The sequence below is a fragment of the Homo sapiens genome, chromosome 5 (genome assembly GCF_000001405.40).
Source record: "Homo sapiens chromosome 5, GRCh38.p14 Primary Assembly".
Classification (NCBI taxonomy): domain Eukaryota; kingdom Metazoa; phylum Chordata; class Mammalia; order Primates; family Hominidae; genus Homo; species Homo sapiens.
Window position 1 is genome coordinate 44744025 of NC_000005.10, and position 16421 is coordinate 44760445.

Here is a 16421-nt window from a genome sequence, read left to right on the forward strand (position 1 = left end):
TCTTTTTCTGTCTCTGTCTCTCTCTCTCTCTCTCTCTCACACACACACACACACACTTGAATAAATCATACTTATAGAATACTATGTAGCTATTAAAACAAATGTGTTAATCATCAAGCTGACCTGGATGGTTGTCAGGGATACATAGTCTACCTAAAAAAGCAAATTGCAGGAGTCTTGTTTTATTATGAAAAAAATTTAAGTGCAGCAACAGAAAAAATTCAAAATGCATATATGCGAATATATGTTTGTAAATACTTATAAGCAGACATAAATATGTGGAAGAAAACACATCAGGTTGTTAGCATGATTCCCTGAGATAGGGTTTTTTTATTTTTAATTTTTTTTCCTGTGACTCATTGGTGTCTTTATGAAAGACTAATGTGGACATTTGGAATTGATAAATTTTATTATCATCTAGAAAAACATATCATATTTTGAAGAACTCTTTTCATAGCTGTTGAATCTTCTTGATGACAGTTTTACTTTATTTGGTATGCTTGATGCTACATCTACTTCACATTTTTATGACAACTTTTTAATAAACATCTTTGAAGCACTTTCTTAATCTTTCTCAATTCTTGCTGGCTTGACCAGAAAGAGCACTTTTTCTGGAAGTGTGAAATCAGACACTTACTTAAGGAGGTGTATTTTGGTGATAATTTCTTTTTGTCACACAAAAGTTGTGATGGTTAGAGATACCATATAAATGCCTTGTCTTTCAATTTAAATAAAAGTATAATTAGAACCAATGTCATTTTAACAGTTTTAAACAGGCGTATTCTGTTTGTTATCTATATCTATTTAACCATAAATTAGATCCATATCACTTGTGGGTTTTCAAAGATTTTTTTTTCATTCTTTTCATTCTTTGGGCAGCTAAAATCTAGGATGGTGTTAAGTTTCTTCATTTTGTCAATTATATATAAAAAATTAGAAACAACATGAATCTGCATTTCTTGGATGAGATAGTTAATAACAAACTATTTCTCAATATTTGTATACTAAAAACTAGTGAAGGTGTTATGTGTTTCAGTATCTTATCTCTTATTTGAACATGGGTTTCTGAAAGGAGCCTATATAATAATATAAATGGTATGTAGTAAATGAGGCACTGTCTTGGCTGGGACTGCTATAAAAAAATTACCATAGACCATTGACTAAACCACAAACATATACTTCTCACAGTTCTGGAAGTTGGAAAGCCAAGATGAGGATGCCAGTATGGCTAGCTTCTAGTGAGGGTCCTCTTGCAGGTTGCAGACAGCCGGCTTCTTGGCTCCTCACATGGCAGGAAGAAGGTGCGCAAGCTCTCTGGCCTCTTCTTACAAGGGCATTAATTACCTTCTGAAGGCTCCACCTCCAAACACCATCACATTGCTGACTGGGGGGACATAAACATTCAGTTCGTAACAGGTACCCTTAACTGTTTCTTGTAGCTTGCATTCTAATTACGATCATCATCATCACCTCAACGTTTGATGACAGGAAGAAACTTTTCCTTGGTTGAAGAATTTATCAACAGTTCAGAAGTTACTAATAAAAATACTATTTTACTTGCAATTTGATCTCTTTCAAAATGGATCACGTTTAGATCACAGTCTTCAGAATTATTAACATGTATGCCTTTTTTAGAGAGTTGATTTTAATGCATTAATAGATTTTAAATAATATATATGTATTTACTTATTTCGAGTCATTGATAAATTTGCAAAATTGTTTCTTAGGGCTTAGGATTCAAAGTATGGTAACAAAATAAAGCTGAGCAGTACAGTAAATGCACATTGGGTGATATTTCACTAACTAAACAAACCTTATTTACTACTTGTATTGCTTAGGTTTAAACACAAGAACATTACAAATGGTTTTAAAACTCATAATGATTCAAAATCTTAAAAGGAAAAAAAATGCACAAACCTTCCATTAACTTCCTTGTCATTTTTTAATGTTTTTCTCTTCTTATGTTTTTCTACTGTTGGGCAAGGTGGGAAATGTGTATTCTGACATATAGACTCTAGTGGTAAAGAAAAAAACATTGCTATTAAAAAAAAAACAGAAAAAAAACAATAAAAAGAAAGAAAAAAGAAGATCATTTTTGTTAATTTGTAGTATAAGTTGAATTAAATGTGCTACCCAGTAGCATACAAAATCAATTTTTAAAAATTGAGCACTAGAAATACAAAGGGAAATAGTTCCTTCCAGACTAGGACTTTAGATTCAAAGACAATATCTTTAAGCATACTGATCTCATATTACAAAGAACATGAAGGAGTTATTTTAAGAAAAAAGAAATAAAACTGTCAATTCCTTCACAAAGGAAAAATTTATATGTAATTTAAAAACAAATTAAACAACTACTTTAAAATATGCTATTTGTTCAATCTCAAGCCTTTTTAATCCAAAAAGGGTTTTGAAATCAGGTGAATAAAAATATATATATATAGAATATATAAACAATGCAGATGTTAAACTGTAGGACAATGAAAGTTTAAAGAGTTAGAGAGACAGGAAATAAACATGGTAATAAACACATTACTAGAATATTCATCTTAAAGATACCTACATCATTGTTCATGAAGTTGACCTTCTTAGTTCTTTTTTTTTTTTTTAACTTTCATTTTAAGTTCAGGGGTACACATGAAGTTTTGTTATATAAGAAAACTCATGTCACAGGGGTTTGTTGTACAGATTATTTTATCACCCAGGTAATAAGCCTAGTACCCAGCAGTTATTTTTTCTACTCCTCTCCCTCCTCCCACCCTTAACCCTCAAGTAGACCTGTGTCTGTTGTCCCTTTCTTTGTGTTCATGAGTTCTCATCATTCAGCTCCCACTTATAAGTGAGAACATGAGGTATCTGGTCTTCTGTTAGTTTCCTAAGGCACCTTAGTTTGCTAAGGTAACATGAGGTATTTGGGCTTCTGTTAGTTTGCTTCTATTAGTTTGCTAAGGATAACAGCCTCCACCTCCATCCATGTTCTCGCAAAAGGCATGTCTTATTCTTTTTTATGGCTGCATAGTATTCCATGGCACATATGTACCACATTTTCTTTATCCAACCTGTCATTGATGAGCATTTAGGTTGATTCCATGTCTTTGCTATTGTGAATAGTGCTGCGATGAACATAAGTGTGCATGTGTCTTTATGGTAAAATGATTTATATTCCTCTGGTATATACTCAGTAATAGGATTGCTGGATTGAATGGTAGTTTTGTTTTTAGCTCTTTGAGGAATTGCCACACTGCTTTCTGAAATGGTTGAACTAATTTACACCACCACCAACAGTGTGTAAGTGTTCCATTTTCTCCACAACCTCGTGATGATCTGTTATTTTTTGACTTTTATTAATGATAGCCATTCTGACTGATGTGAGATGGTATCTCACTGTTGATCTTCTTACTTCTACTAAATATCTGAGGAATTATTTTAGGTCTCCAAATCATGTCTGTTATTCTTTCAGCTGCCAATAATAGCAGCTAACTTACTATGCTTCATTTTAATAACTAGATAATTGGCCTCCTGGAATAATATTTAACTGGTCCATTTTAAGATCCATTGTGAAGTCATTTCCAGTCATTTCGAAAGTATAAACATTTGCTCACTTGTAAACTTCTTCAAAGCTTGGGCAAGAACACCAAGCATGTCAAAGTTCTTGTTTCTTCCCATCTCTGACTTCAAAAACATATAAAAAAAAAGATGGGAATTAATATTCAGCATGACTTGGGTGATATTTAACCTCTGAATCAGTTTAGCTTCATTTGTTTAAGTTTATAATAATACAATAAGCATAAAAGTTTCAGATCTTAACCCAATAATCTTTAGTGACATTACACTTCATAGTCTTGCTTCAGCTCTTTATGTAATCATCTCGTATGATTTTCTTGTATTTGTTTTCAAAATATTATTTGGCAACCCAAGCCTCTTGCCTAAATAACATATTTTCTATTTAGTGCATACCATGGAAAAAATGTCTTTAAAGATCAAAGGCCAAAAACTACACACAAAACAGTAATAAATTAAAAAATAATTTTACAATACTCATACCCTAGAAAGACAAGCTCACCTGATTCACAGATTCAGGTGAATTTGGTATTACAAAATAATTATTACTATTCTTCACTTGGCTGTAGTTCTGGGGGCAAGACCCTATCTGGCAATTGTTCCAGTACAAAAGGGGAATGGTAGCAGGTTAGGGGATGGGATAGATGTCACCAAAACCAGAGAAATGAGCAGATCCCAGAGTGTGTGAGTAACTAAGTCCAAAAGCTTGGAAGGAGATGTTCACCAAACCAAGTGGGTTAGAAACAGATGTAGAAATTGAGCTAAAGTGCCAGAAATCCAGGAAATCAGAGGATGATAGTAATTGCAAGCAGGTCCAGAGAGAAAACAGAGGTTTTTGGTGTAAAATGGCGTATGGTTTGCAGCCCATGATCCAGCTGGGCTCAACTTTTCACAAACATATCTGTGAAGGCACAGGAAGATCACAAAAGTCAGAACGCTGTAAACCAGAACTGACAATTAACCTTTTGCAAGTATCTATGAGAAATTTTCATAAACTAGAAAGTAAAAGACTTGAGTTGAAAATTGCGATAGGTATTTCAACCTTGCTTTACTTAATTAGGAGTAGGTAAATTTTTCTCTTTCCTGCTATTTCCCTGGTCCAAAAATAAATCTGCATCAATCAGAAAACTAGGCAAATATCTTTTTACTCTGGGGAGCTATATTTTGAAATTCATCTTCCTGCCCCTTAACCCATGATTATTATTACCATGACAACCCCTTTTCATACATATGTTTGGAGATTACAGAAAACAATGTTATAAAGTGTGTGTGTGGGGGGGGGGGGTGAGGAGTTGTCTAGTGATGATGTACAACATTCTAAAAGGTATAATCCACACAAATTAAGTGTTATGGAAATATAGTAATGAGAAAGAACTGAGAACATTGAACACTCTAAATTTTGAAAGCACTTCATTTATTCTGAGTGCTGCAAAATTAGGCAAAACTAGGTACCGGAGGCCCTATCTCTGATCAGTAGCACATCACTGGCTATCTGTTAATGGATATTGGGCTAAGAGTTATGTACTTCAGCATGTGTTTTGGTTGTAGATGTGGGAGATAAGCATATGTTTGCAAGTACATAGAGCTTAGGGTCAATGGCGCTCAATCAATGAAATTTGGGATATGCAAGATAAGTATATGGTGAAAAGAATATTTTTTTCAGTAAGGCATTGACTGGAGTTACTCAAGTCACCTCAATGAGGCAAGGTCCCATATAAGTTTTGCAACTATTCACAGCTTTCTAACCCCCACTAAGAATGAGGTATTTGAGGCAAAGGACCCTCTGTATCACTTTCCCTAGGCCACTGTTGGTATTTTGAGAATGTGAATGAGGCAGCAGTCCCACATTTTTATTTTAAATTTTCTGATTGCCACAAAAAGTAGTAGCTAATTAATTATTTTACTTGTATTTGAAATAATGATCAATGTAGGGGTGAGATTTGGGAAGCAGAATGGACAAGCATAAGCATAGATTCAGCCTGTCTTCTCCACGAATAATATTGATCTCACCATGTGGTTTAAAGGTGGACGTGAAAACAATCTTTTTCCAGATATTTATTATTTTCTTTTTCTTTTGTCTTTTTTTTGCTATGTTTAAGGTCTACAGTAATGTTTTGATATACATAAATAGTAAAACGATACCTACGGAAGCAAATTAACATATCCATAACTTCACATAGTAATTTTTTTTTGGTTTGGAGTGAGAGCACCTAAAATCCATATTCTCTTAGCAAATTTCCATTTACACAAAACAATATTGTTGACTATATCCTCATGCTGTGCGTTAGATTTCCAGATTTACTCACACTATGTAACTGCAACTCTACCCTTTGACTTATCTCTCCCCTTTCCCTTCACCCTGGTAACCACAGGTCTACTATTTCCGCATATTCAACTGTTTTGTTTTGTTTCATTATATTTTTATATTTACATATATAAGTGAGGTGATGCAATATTTAAAGCAATTTTAACAAGAGGATTTCAGAACTGTGCTTATTAACAGCAGCCTCAATAGATTAACTTTGAGGCTTGATCTGAATGTATATGATTTCAGATATTTGCTAAAACACCAAACACACATAAACTTACTCTTGATATTTCATAGGCATTGCTTGTAAAAGAAGCATTTGTGAAGGATCACAGGGCCCTGCATAGAGTAACCTTTTTTTCTTGTCCCTCAAGGCTTTATGCCCAAGTATCTTTCTGTTGCTAAAATCATTGATTTGGGTTTTGCCACTTACTTAATCTTGGTCCTCAAATCGAGTTGCCCAAGCACATTGCTGACTTTACCCTATAGCATCTGCCTGACTTTTGTTATCTTAGTTGAACTTTTTGAGTAAAACTTTGGGCCCATTTACTAGCCTCCTTCCTATTTTATCAGCTTTTCTTATGTCATCTGCCCTGTGGCTGCACAAGTCCTAACATGATCTTTATCTCTCTCAATTAAAATGAGACTATCACTTGCATTGACAAATTTAGTTGGTTATTGTGATTATATGTTGTCAAAAGCCCAAAGACAAAACAAATTAGTAAATAATCATGCTGTTTGCAGCTTTCATTTCATATATACCTTACTTGATTTCCAGATGGAGAAATCTGATGTCTGTGGAAGGCCAGAAAGCTAAGAAAGTACTGAGTTCTCTTAGAGAAGATAAGAATGTAAACAGATATAATTAAAAGATTACAAAAGTTTTTCAAAAGTGTAAGCAGACAATGGGTCATAATACTGCCAGATATATTCAAAGCTAATTTATTTGGGAATGCTTAAGGTACTTTTATTTTTAAGTAAGAAAATGCTTATTGCTGTATATTCTGAAAAAGTGTTGTGCATTTGTTCTCTGCATATTGAGAGGATTTTCAGCGGAAGCGTTACTGCTTTTGTGTGAGTTTAACTCTTCACACTTAAATCTTTGCATCTGGAGAAGTTTAGGTTTAGAAGATCTTTCAACTGCTCTCCAACCAACTTCATTGCACATTGTATATCATTCTTTTGTGTCTTTTCTCTCTTCAATAGTGCACATGGCTCAGGTAAAGAGTAGATGTAAAAAAACATAAATACACCCTGGAAGTTTCTTGATTCTTCAAACCATCTTAAAATAGAATTTGTAAGCCTAAATTCACATTGAGTCTCAAAGTTTGTATATGGTTAATTTACTGTTCTATCTGTCTTGATGCTGAACCAATGTTTTTGTTTGTTTAATGTGAGTGGTCTTTCTAATCCCATTAAGTGGAAACAAAGTTTACAAATGTAAATCCATTTTACTTTGATTTAGTACTTTTGCAAGACCAGGCTTCACAAATCAAGGACTGAACTTTGACAGCAAGAGTAGTTTCAAAAGGTGTTTTTCTCTCACCTTTGAGAGAAAAGGAGTAAGATCTTTCTAGGGATTTCTTTTTTTTTTTTTTTCCTCCAAAGATAAACACTAGTAGTATGGGAGGTTGAGGGGATTGGACTTGGCAGAGCCCTTTTGTTCAGAAGTAAATGTTGAGCCTACGCTGAGATCCTGCAGATGGAATACAATCTGTGAGATTATTCCTGTTGTTTTTCTACTACTATGTCAATTATCATTCTTTGAAGGGAAAAATTAACAGGGCCTCTGTTGGGCATTGAGGAAAAAACTCTGGACTCTGGGTCAGAAGAAAGGAAACAAGCCATAACCACTTGGAGCCTCACTTCTCATATGTATAAAATAATAGCAATAGTGGTTAGTATTTATTGAGCAGATGGAACTTCTACTTCTAATCCTCACAATAGCCCACTTGAGTTTCTGGAATAATTTATTTAGTCAAATTTATGTGAAAATGCCTGCCATACTATATACTATTGTTCTGAAAATCAAATGGGGCAATTCATATAAAACTATCTGAAAATTAAAGTTACAATTTTCAATAGGAAGGACTCTTGTCTATCTTTCTTGAAATCATTTTTATAGCTGTTTTGCATAACTCAGTTGCTGTCAGAGAAAAAGAAGTTGTATACAAATTCCAAATAATAATTTGACACTAATAAGCAATGTCAAAATAAGAACATAGAGTTAAACACTTTTTCCCTTGAGTAACAAACAACTTTGAAAAAGTCAGTGTAATACTTTTGACAGATATTATTAACAGGAAATTGTGGAATTAGTATACTTAAAGTCTAGGGAGAAAAAATTTATATTTTTCTCAGGAACTCTAATAAATATATCATTATAGGAATAAATATGAATCTAAAAAATAACCTAGTTAATATGACCAATAAAGAGTAATAATGGGTGGGAGATAAGTGTTTTTCTAAAATATGTTTATACTTTCATTTCAAAAGTTTATACAACAAAATTATAATTCTTTTTATATTTTTGAAACAGTGTTAAAAATTATATAGCAAACATGAGACAGAGAGAGAGAGAGAGCTAAGCAAGTAGGAATAAACTTTAGTCCTCAACCTCAGGTATGCAAAAATATATATATATTTTAAATTTTTCTACAACTTCATTTTTGATGCTGAGACTCCATGCTATCCATCTGGTAAAAAATTCAATTGTCTTCATTACTGGTGTCCTTCCTATCTTGATCCCCTGGTTCTTTTCCAGTGCCAAGGCATTGGGGGATGTTCATTGGTATAACTATTTAATCATCCATTCCTCTGTTTGCACAACGTCTTCAGGTCTCTGTTGCTTCTATGCCAGATGATTTGGTTTGGCTGTGTTCTTACCCAAATCTCATATTGAACTGTAGCTCCTATAATTTCCATGTGTCCTGGGAGGGACCTGGTTGGAGGTAATTGAATCATGGGGGTGGGGCTTTCCCATTCTGTTCTCATGGTAGTAAGTCTCATGAGATCTGATGGTTTTATAAATGGGAGTTCCCCTGCACACGTTCTCTTGACTGCTACCATGTAAGATGTGACTTTGCTCCTCATTCATCTTCTGTCATGATTGTGAGGCCTCCCCAGCCATGTGGAACTGTGAGTCAATTAAACCTCTTTCCTTTTTAAATTACCCAGTCTCAGGTATGTCTTTATTAGCAGCATGATAACAGACTAATACACCAGGTTTTGATGAGAGAATGTTTTCCTATTTAATCTCATTCACATCAGAGATCTTGCTGCTTTCCTGGTTACACTGCCAGAAAACACAGATCTTTTTCTCACCTCCTTCACAAGCTCAGGGGATCTCTATTCTTGAGCGAGGGTCTCCCACCATCCATGGTATGATATTTTGAATAGATAGTTAGTCTTCAGCTCTAAAACTCTTGCAATCTCCAGATTGATAAAAATGTATTCTGTATGTTAGTGAGATGACTGGTGGCTGACCCCTAAATAGCCTCAGAATGGGGGCTTGTCACCAGAAAGACAAAGTCATGATTACAGGGTTGGGACTTTCAGCCCCATCTCCCAACTTTCAGAGAGGGGAGAGGGGCCAAAGGTTGAGGTGATCAACAATGGCCAATGATCTAATCCATATAGCCATGTAATGAAGCCTCCACAAAAAAACTAAAAGGACTGGGTTTGGGGAGCTTCTGGATAGCTGAACAAGTGGAGATTCCTGAAAGGTGGCACCCAAAGAGGGCATGGAAGCTTCATGCCCCTTCCCACGTGTCTTACCCTATCCATGTCTTTATCTGGCTCTTCATGTGTGTTCTTTGTAATACCTTTGTGATAAAAAAGTAAACACAAGTAAGTGTTTTCCTGACTTCTGTGAGCTGCTCTAGTAAATTAATCAAACTGGGAAAGAGATCATAGAAACCTTAATTTATAGTCAATTAGTCAGAAGCAAAGATAACAACCTGGGACTTGCAACTGGGGTCTGAGGTGGGTGCGGTCTTGTAACACCGAGCTCTTAAACTGTGGGAGCTGATGCTGCCTCCAGGTAGATACTGTCAGAATTGAATTGAATTAGAGGACACTCAGTTTGCTGGAGAATCTGGTGTCAGAAGTGTGTTGTGGTATGTGAGAGTAGAAAAAAAGCAAGCTTTTTTTTTCCTTTTTTTTTTTTAATATGGACACTCCTATCCTTGTGTATGTCCAGCACATACTGTCTTAATCTGTGAGTCTTCTTTTACATGCTTTAAACTTCCTTAAGACTTACATGTTTATAAAACAAAAGCCAGAAATATTTGCAGTTTATTTCTGATTTCTGCCTCTGCTTCTATCCTCAAAACTGTTTCAACTGACAATTTTCTTAAAACAGATCAAAGGAGAGAGAAAAAAATGTATAATTTAGTGTAATATGTATAATTTTAGTATGTATAATTTAGTATCTCACTGTGGTAGGATGAATAATCACCCCCAAAGACGTTCAAATTCTAATCACTAGAACCTGTGAATGTCACCTTATATGGAAAAAGATGTTTTGAAGATGTGAGTAAATTAAGAATCTTGAGATTAAGAGATTATCCAGGTGGGTCTTATAAGATCCTTGTAACAAGGACCAGGAGAAGATAGAGTCAGAATAGTAGCAGGTGATAAGTTGATGGTAGCAGATACTGGAGTGGCATACTTTGACAATGGACCACAAGTCAAGGAATACTCTTATAGAAGCTAAAAGGGAAGGAAACTGATTCTGCCTCCAGGTCCTCAAGATCCCCAGTGAAACTGATTTTTGACTGCTGACCTCCAGAACCATAAGAAAACAAATTTGTGACGTTTTAAATATCTAAATCTGTGGTGATTTGTTACAGCAACAGGAAACTACTAAAGTCAGAATCCTCTCACTTAAATGCTAAAAGTTCTCGAAACTCAAAGCTTGATAACAAATTCTTTTCTTACCTGTTTTCTCTTAACTGGAAGAATTAAGATATTCTTAAATACTTTTCTCTTCCATGTGATATGTTAAATTATTTCTCTAAAGATTTCATATTTTAATATTAACAAACCTTGTTTTTCTTTGCAAAAATTACTATACGTCTTCAAAAAGCATTTAATACAAGGACAAAGTTGGTCCCCATCCATGAAGTGCTCTGATAGTTTTAAATAGATTTGATCTTGATAGTTCCATATTTATTCATTAACTCAGAAAGAATGACAAACATTTATTGTTAACCCACTGCATTTTAGACCTTTTATCTAGTTCCTGTGGGCATAATGATAAATAGAAAGAAATAATCAAAACTACAAAATTATTAGTGCAATAATAGAAATATATGAAGAAAGCTCTGATGTTGCAGGGCTGAATCTTATGTGAAACAATGAACCAGTCCTAAGGTATTTACATTGTCCAAAATTGAGTGTAATCTCCTGAATTTACTTAGTTTGACCAATGGGGTATATGCAAGCATAATTCAAGTAGAGACTTGATGCACACTTGCTCATTGGAGCTTGTTGTTTAGTAAATCTTGCTCCTGAGATCCAGACACCATGTGAAGAAGTTCAAGCTAGTCATGTGGAAAAATCCAAATAGAGAGGGAAAGAGTTTCCACACTATTAAGGCATAGCACTTGGGCACTATAAAACTCATAGACAAAAGACTATCTCTAAGATATCTATTTGCATGGCTTTGGATCCTGCTAAAGAGCTATATATGGAGGAAGCTGTCTTGAATGCTCCAGCTCCAGCCACCATCTGACCACAAGCAAGAGCAGCACAAGAATGGTGCAGCTTAGCCCATGCCAACCTATAAAATTCTGAGCAAATAAAATGGTGGATGTTTTAACCCACTAAGTTTTGGACTGTTTGCTATGAAGCAATAGAAAATTGAAATAGAAATTAGTATCTGAAAGTAGGATACCACTGTAATAATAACCGAATACAGGGGTAGTGGCTTTGGGACCGGACAGTAAGGAGATTGTTGAAGGAAGCTTGAAGTGCAGGAAGGAGATTGTTATTAAAAGGTGGAGGGGGTAGATAAAACCACAAAGATGGGAAAAAACAGAGCAGAAAAACTGGAAACTCTAAAAATCACAGCGCCTCTCCTCCTCCAAAGGAACGCAGCTCCTCACCAGCAACGGAACAAAGCTGGATGGAGAATGACTTTGATGAGTTGAGAGAAGAAGGCTTCAGACAATCAAACTACTCCGAGCTATAGGAGGAAATTCGAACCAATGGCAAAGAAGTTAAAAGCTTTGAAAAAAAATTAGACGAATGGATAACTAGAATAACCAATGCAGAGAAGTCCTCAGAGGACCTGATGGAGCTGAAAACCAAGGCACGAGAGCTACGTGACGAATGCAGAAGCCTCAGTAGCCGATGCAATAACGGGAAGAAAGCCAATGCAATCAACTGATGCAATGAACTGCAATCAGCGATGGAAGACGAAATGAATGAAATGAAGCATGAAGAGAAGTTTAGAGAAAAAAGAATAAAAAGAAACGAACAAAGCATCCAAGAAATATGGAACTATGTGAAAAGACCAAATCTACGTTACATTGGTGTACCTGAAAGTGATGGGAAGAATGGAACCAAGTTGGAAAACACTCAGCAGGATATTATACAGGAGAACTTCCCCAACCTAGCAAGGCAGGCCAACATTCAGATTCAGGAAATACAGAGAATGCCACAAAGATACTCCTTGAGAGAGCAACTCCAAGACACATAATTGTCAGATTCACCAAAGTTGAAATGAAGGAAAAAATGTTCAGGGCAGCCAGAGAAAAAGGTCAGGTTACCTACAAAGAGAAGCCCATCAGACTAACAGCTGATCTCTTGGCAGAAACTCTACAAGCCAGAAGAGAGTGGGGACCAATATTCAACATTCTTAAAGAAAAGAATTTTCAAACCAGAATCTCATACCAGCCAAACAAAGCTTCATAAGTGAAGGAGGAATAAAATACTTTACAGACAAGCAAATGCTGAGAGATTTTGTCACCACCAGGCCCGCCCTACAAGAGCTCCTGAAGGAAGCACTAAACATGGAAAGGAACAACCAGTACCAGCCACTGCAAAAACATGCCAAATTGTAAAGACCATCGAGGCTAGGAAGAAACTGCATCAACTAACGAGCAAAATAACCAGCTAACATCATAATGACAGGATCAAACACACATAAAACAATATTAACTTTAAATGTAAATTGGCTAAATGCTCCAATTAAAAGACATAGACTGGCAAATTGGATAAAGAGTCAAAACCCATCAGTGTGCTGTATTCAGGAAACCCATCTCACATGCAGAGACACACATAGGCTCAAAATAAAGGGATGGAGGAAAATCTACCAAGCAAATGGAAAACAAAAAAAGGCAGGGGTTGCAATCCTAGTCTCTGATAAAACAGACTTTAAACCAACAAAGATCAAAAGAGACAAAGAAGGCTATTACATAATGGTAAAGGGATCAATTCAACAAGAAGAGCTAAGTATCCTAAATATATATGCACCCAATACAGGAGGACACAGATTCATAAAGCAAGTCCTTAGTGACCTATAAAGAGACTTAGACTCCCAAACAATAATAATGGGAGCCTTTAACACCCCACTGTCAACATTAAACAGATCAACGAGACAGAAAGTTAACAAGGATACCCAGGAATTGAACTCAGCTCTGCACCAAGCGGACCTAATAGACATCTACAGAACTCTCCATCCCAAATCAACAGAATATACATTCTTTTCAGCACCACACCACACCTACTCCAAAATTGACCACATAGTTGGAAGTGAAGTACTCCTCAGCAAATGTAAAAGAACAGAAATTATAACAAACTGTCTCTCAGACCACAGTGCAATCAAATTAGAACTCAGGATTAAGAAACTCACTCAAATTCGCTCAACTACATGGAAACTGAACAACCTGCTCCTGAATGACTCCTGGGTACATAACGAAATGAAGGCAGAAATAAAGACGTTCTTTGAAACCAACGAGAACAAAGACACAACATACCAGAATCTCTGGGACACATTCAAAGCACTGTGTAGAGAGAAATTTATAGCACTAAATGCCCACAAGAGAAAGCAGGAAAGATCTAAAATTGACACCCTAACATCACAATTAAAAGAACTAGAGAAGCAAGAGCAAATACATTCAAAAGCTAGCAGAAGGCAAGAAATAACTAAGATCAGAGCAGAACTGAAGGAAATAGAGACACAAAAAACCCTTCAAAAAATTAATGAATCCAGGAGCTGGTTTTTTGAGAAGATCAACAAAATCGATAGACCGCTAGCAAGACTAATAAAGAAGAGAAGAGAGAAGAATCAAATACACACAATAAAAAATGATAAAGGGGATATCACCACCGATCCCACAGAAATACAAACTACCGTCAGAGAATACTATAAACACCTCTACACAAATAAACTAGAAAATCTAGAAGAAATGGATAAATTCCTCGACACATACATCCTCCCAAGACTAAACCAGGAAGAAGTTGAATCTCTGAATAGACCAATAACAGGCTCTGTAATTGAGGCAATAATTAATAGCTTACCAACCAAAAAAAGTCCAGGACCAGATGGATTCACAGCCAAATTCTACCAGAAAGAGGAGCTGGTACCATTCCTTCTGAAACTATTCCAATCAATAGAAAAAGAGGGAATCCTCCCTAACTCATTTTATGAGGCCAGCATCATCCTGATACCAAAGCCTGGCAGAGACACAACAACAAAAAAGAGAATTTTAGACCAATATCCTTGATGAACATTGATGCAAAAATCCTCAATAAAATACTGGCAAACCAAATCCAGCAGCACATCAAAAAGCTTATCCACCGCGATCAAGTGGGCTTCATCCCTGGGATGCAAGGCTGGTTCAACATACGCAAATCAGTAAATGTAATCCAACATATAAACAGAACCAAAGACGAAAACCACATGTTTATCTCAATAGATGCAGAAAAGGCCTTTGACAAAATTCAACAACCCTTCATGCTAAAAACTCTCAATAAATTAGGTATTGATGGGATGTATCTCAAAACAATAATAGCTATCTATGACAAACCCACAGCCAATATCATACTGAATGGGCAAAAACTGGAAGCATTCCATTTGAAAACTGACACAAGACAGGGATGCCCTCTCTCACCACTCCTATTCAACATAATGTTGGAAGTTCTGGCCAAGACAATCAGGCAGGAGAAGGAAATAAAGGGTATTCAATTAGGAAAAGAGGAAGTCGAATTGTCCCTGTTTGCAGATGACATGATTGTATATCTAGAAATCCCCATCGTCTCAGCCCAAAATCTCCTCAAGCTGATAAGCAACTTCGGCAAAGTCTCAGGATACAAAATCAATGTACAAAAATCACAAGCATTCTTATACACCAATAACAGACAAACAGAGAGCCAAATCATGACTGAACTCCCATTCACAATTGCTTCTAAGAGAATAAAATACCTAGGAATCCAACTTACAAGGGATGTGAATGACCTCTTCAAGGAGAACTACAAACCACTGCTCCATGAAATAAAAGAGGACACAAACAAGTGGAAGAACATTCCATGCTCATGAGTAGGAAGAATCAATATCGTGAAAATGGCCATACTGTCCAAGGTAATTTCCAGATTCAATGCCATCCTCATCAAGCTACAAATGACTTTCTTCACAGAATTGGAAAAAAGTACTTTAAAGTTCATATGGAACCAAAAAAGAGCCTGCATCGCCAAGTCAATCCTAAGCCAAAAGAACAAAGCTGGAGGCATCACGCTGCTTGACTTCAAACTATACTACAAGGTTACAGTAACCAAAACAGCATGGTACTGGTACCAAAACAGAGATATAGATCAATGGAACAGAACAGAGCCCTCAGAAATAATGCCACATGTCTACAACTATCTGATCTTTGACAAACCTGAGAAAAACAAGCAATGGGGAAAGGATTCCCTATTTAATAAATGGTGCTGGGAAAACTGGCTAGCCATATGTAGAAAGCTGAAACTGGATCCCTTCCTTACACCTTATACAAAAATTAATTCAAGATGGATTAAAGACTTAAATGTTAGACCTAAAACCATAAAAACCCTAGAAGAAAACCTAGGCAATACCATTCAGGACATAGGCATGGGCAAGGACTTCATGTCTAAAACACCAAAAGCAATGACAACCAAAGCCAAAATTGACAAATGGGATCTAATTAAACTGAAGAGCTTCTGCACAGCAAAAGAAATTACCATCAGAGTGAACAGGCAACCTATAGAATGGGAAAAAATTTTTGCAACCTACTCATCTGACAAAGGGCTAATATCCAGAATCTACAATGAACTCAAACAAATTTACAAGAAAAAAACAAACAACCCCATCAAAAAGTGGGCAAAGAATATGAACAGACACTTCTCAAAAGAAGACATTTATGCAGCCAAAAAACACATGAAAAAATGCTCATCATCACTGGCCATCAGAGAAATGCAAATCAAAACCACAATGAGATACCATCTCACACCAGTTAGAATGGCAATCATTAAAAAGTCAGGAAACAACAGGTGCTGGAGAGGATGTGGAGAAACAGGAACACTTTTA

At 35.9% G+C, this 16421-nt stretch overlaps 1 long non-coding RNA gene across 4 annotated transcripts in view; it reads right to left on the reverse strand.

Moving 5' to 3' along the window:
* Nucleotides 1–303: 303 nt before the first annotated feature.
* The window catches only part of MRPS30-DT (MRPS30 divergent transcript), a 64466-nt gene continuing 48348 nt past the window's right edge, over nucleotides 304–16421 (reverse strand). For 2 of the 4 annotated variants that reach the window (NR_109865.1, NR_109863.1), the window contains 2 exons: nucleotides 1918–2014; nucleotides 304–1380 (listed from right to left, as the gene is read on the reverse strand). This is a non-coding gene — a long non-coding RNA (MRPS30 divergent transcript). Of the gene's footprint in view, nucleotides 1385–1917; nucleotides 2015–16421 lie in introns of all 4 variants that reach the window. The other 2 variants (NR_109864.1, NR_109862.1) reach the window with 1 other exon arrangement.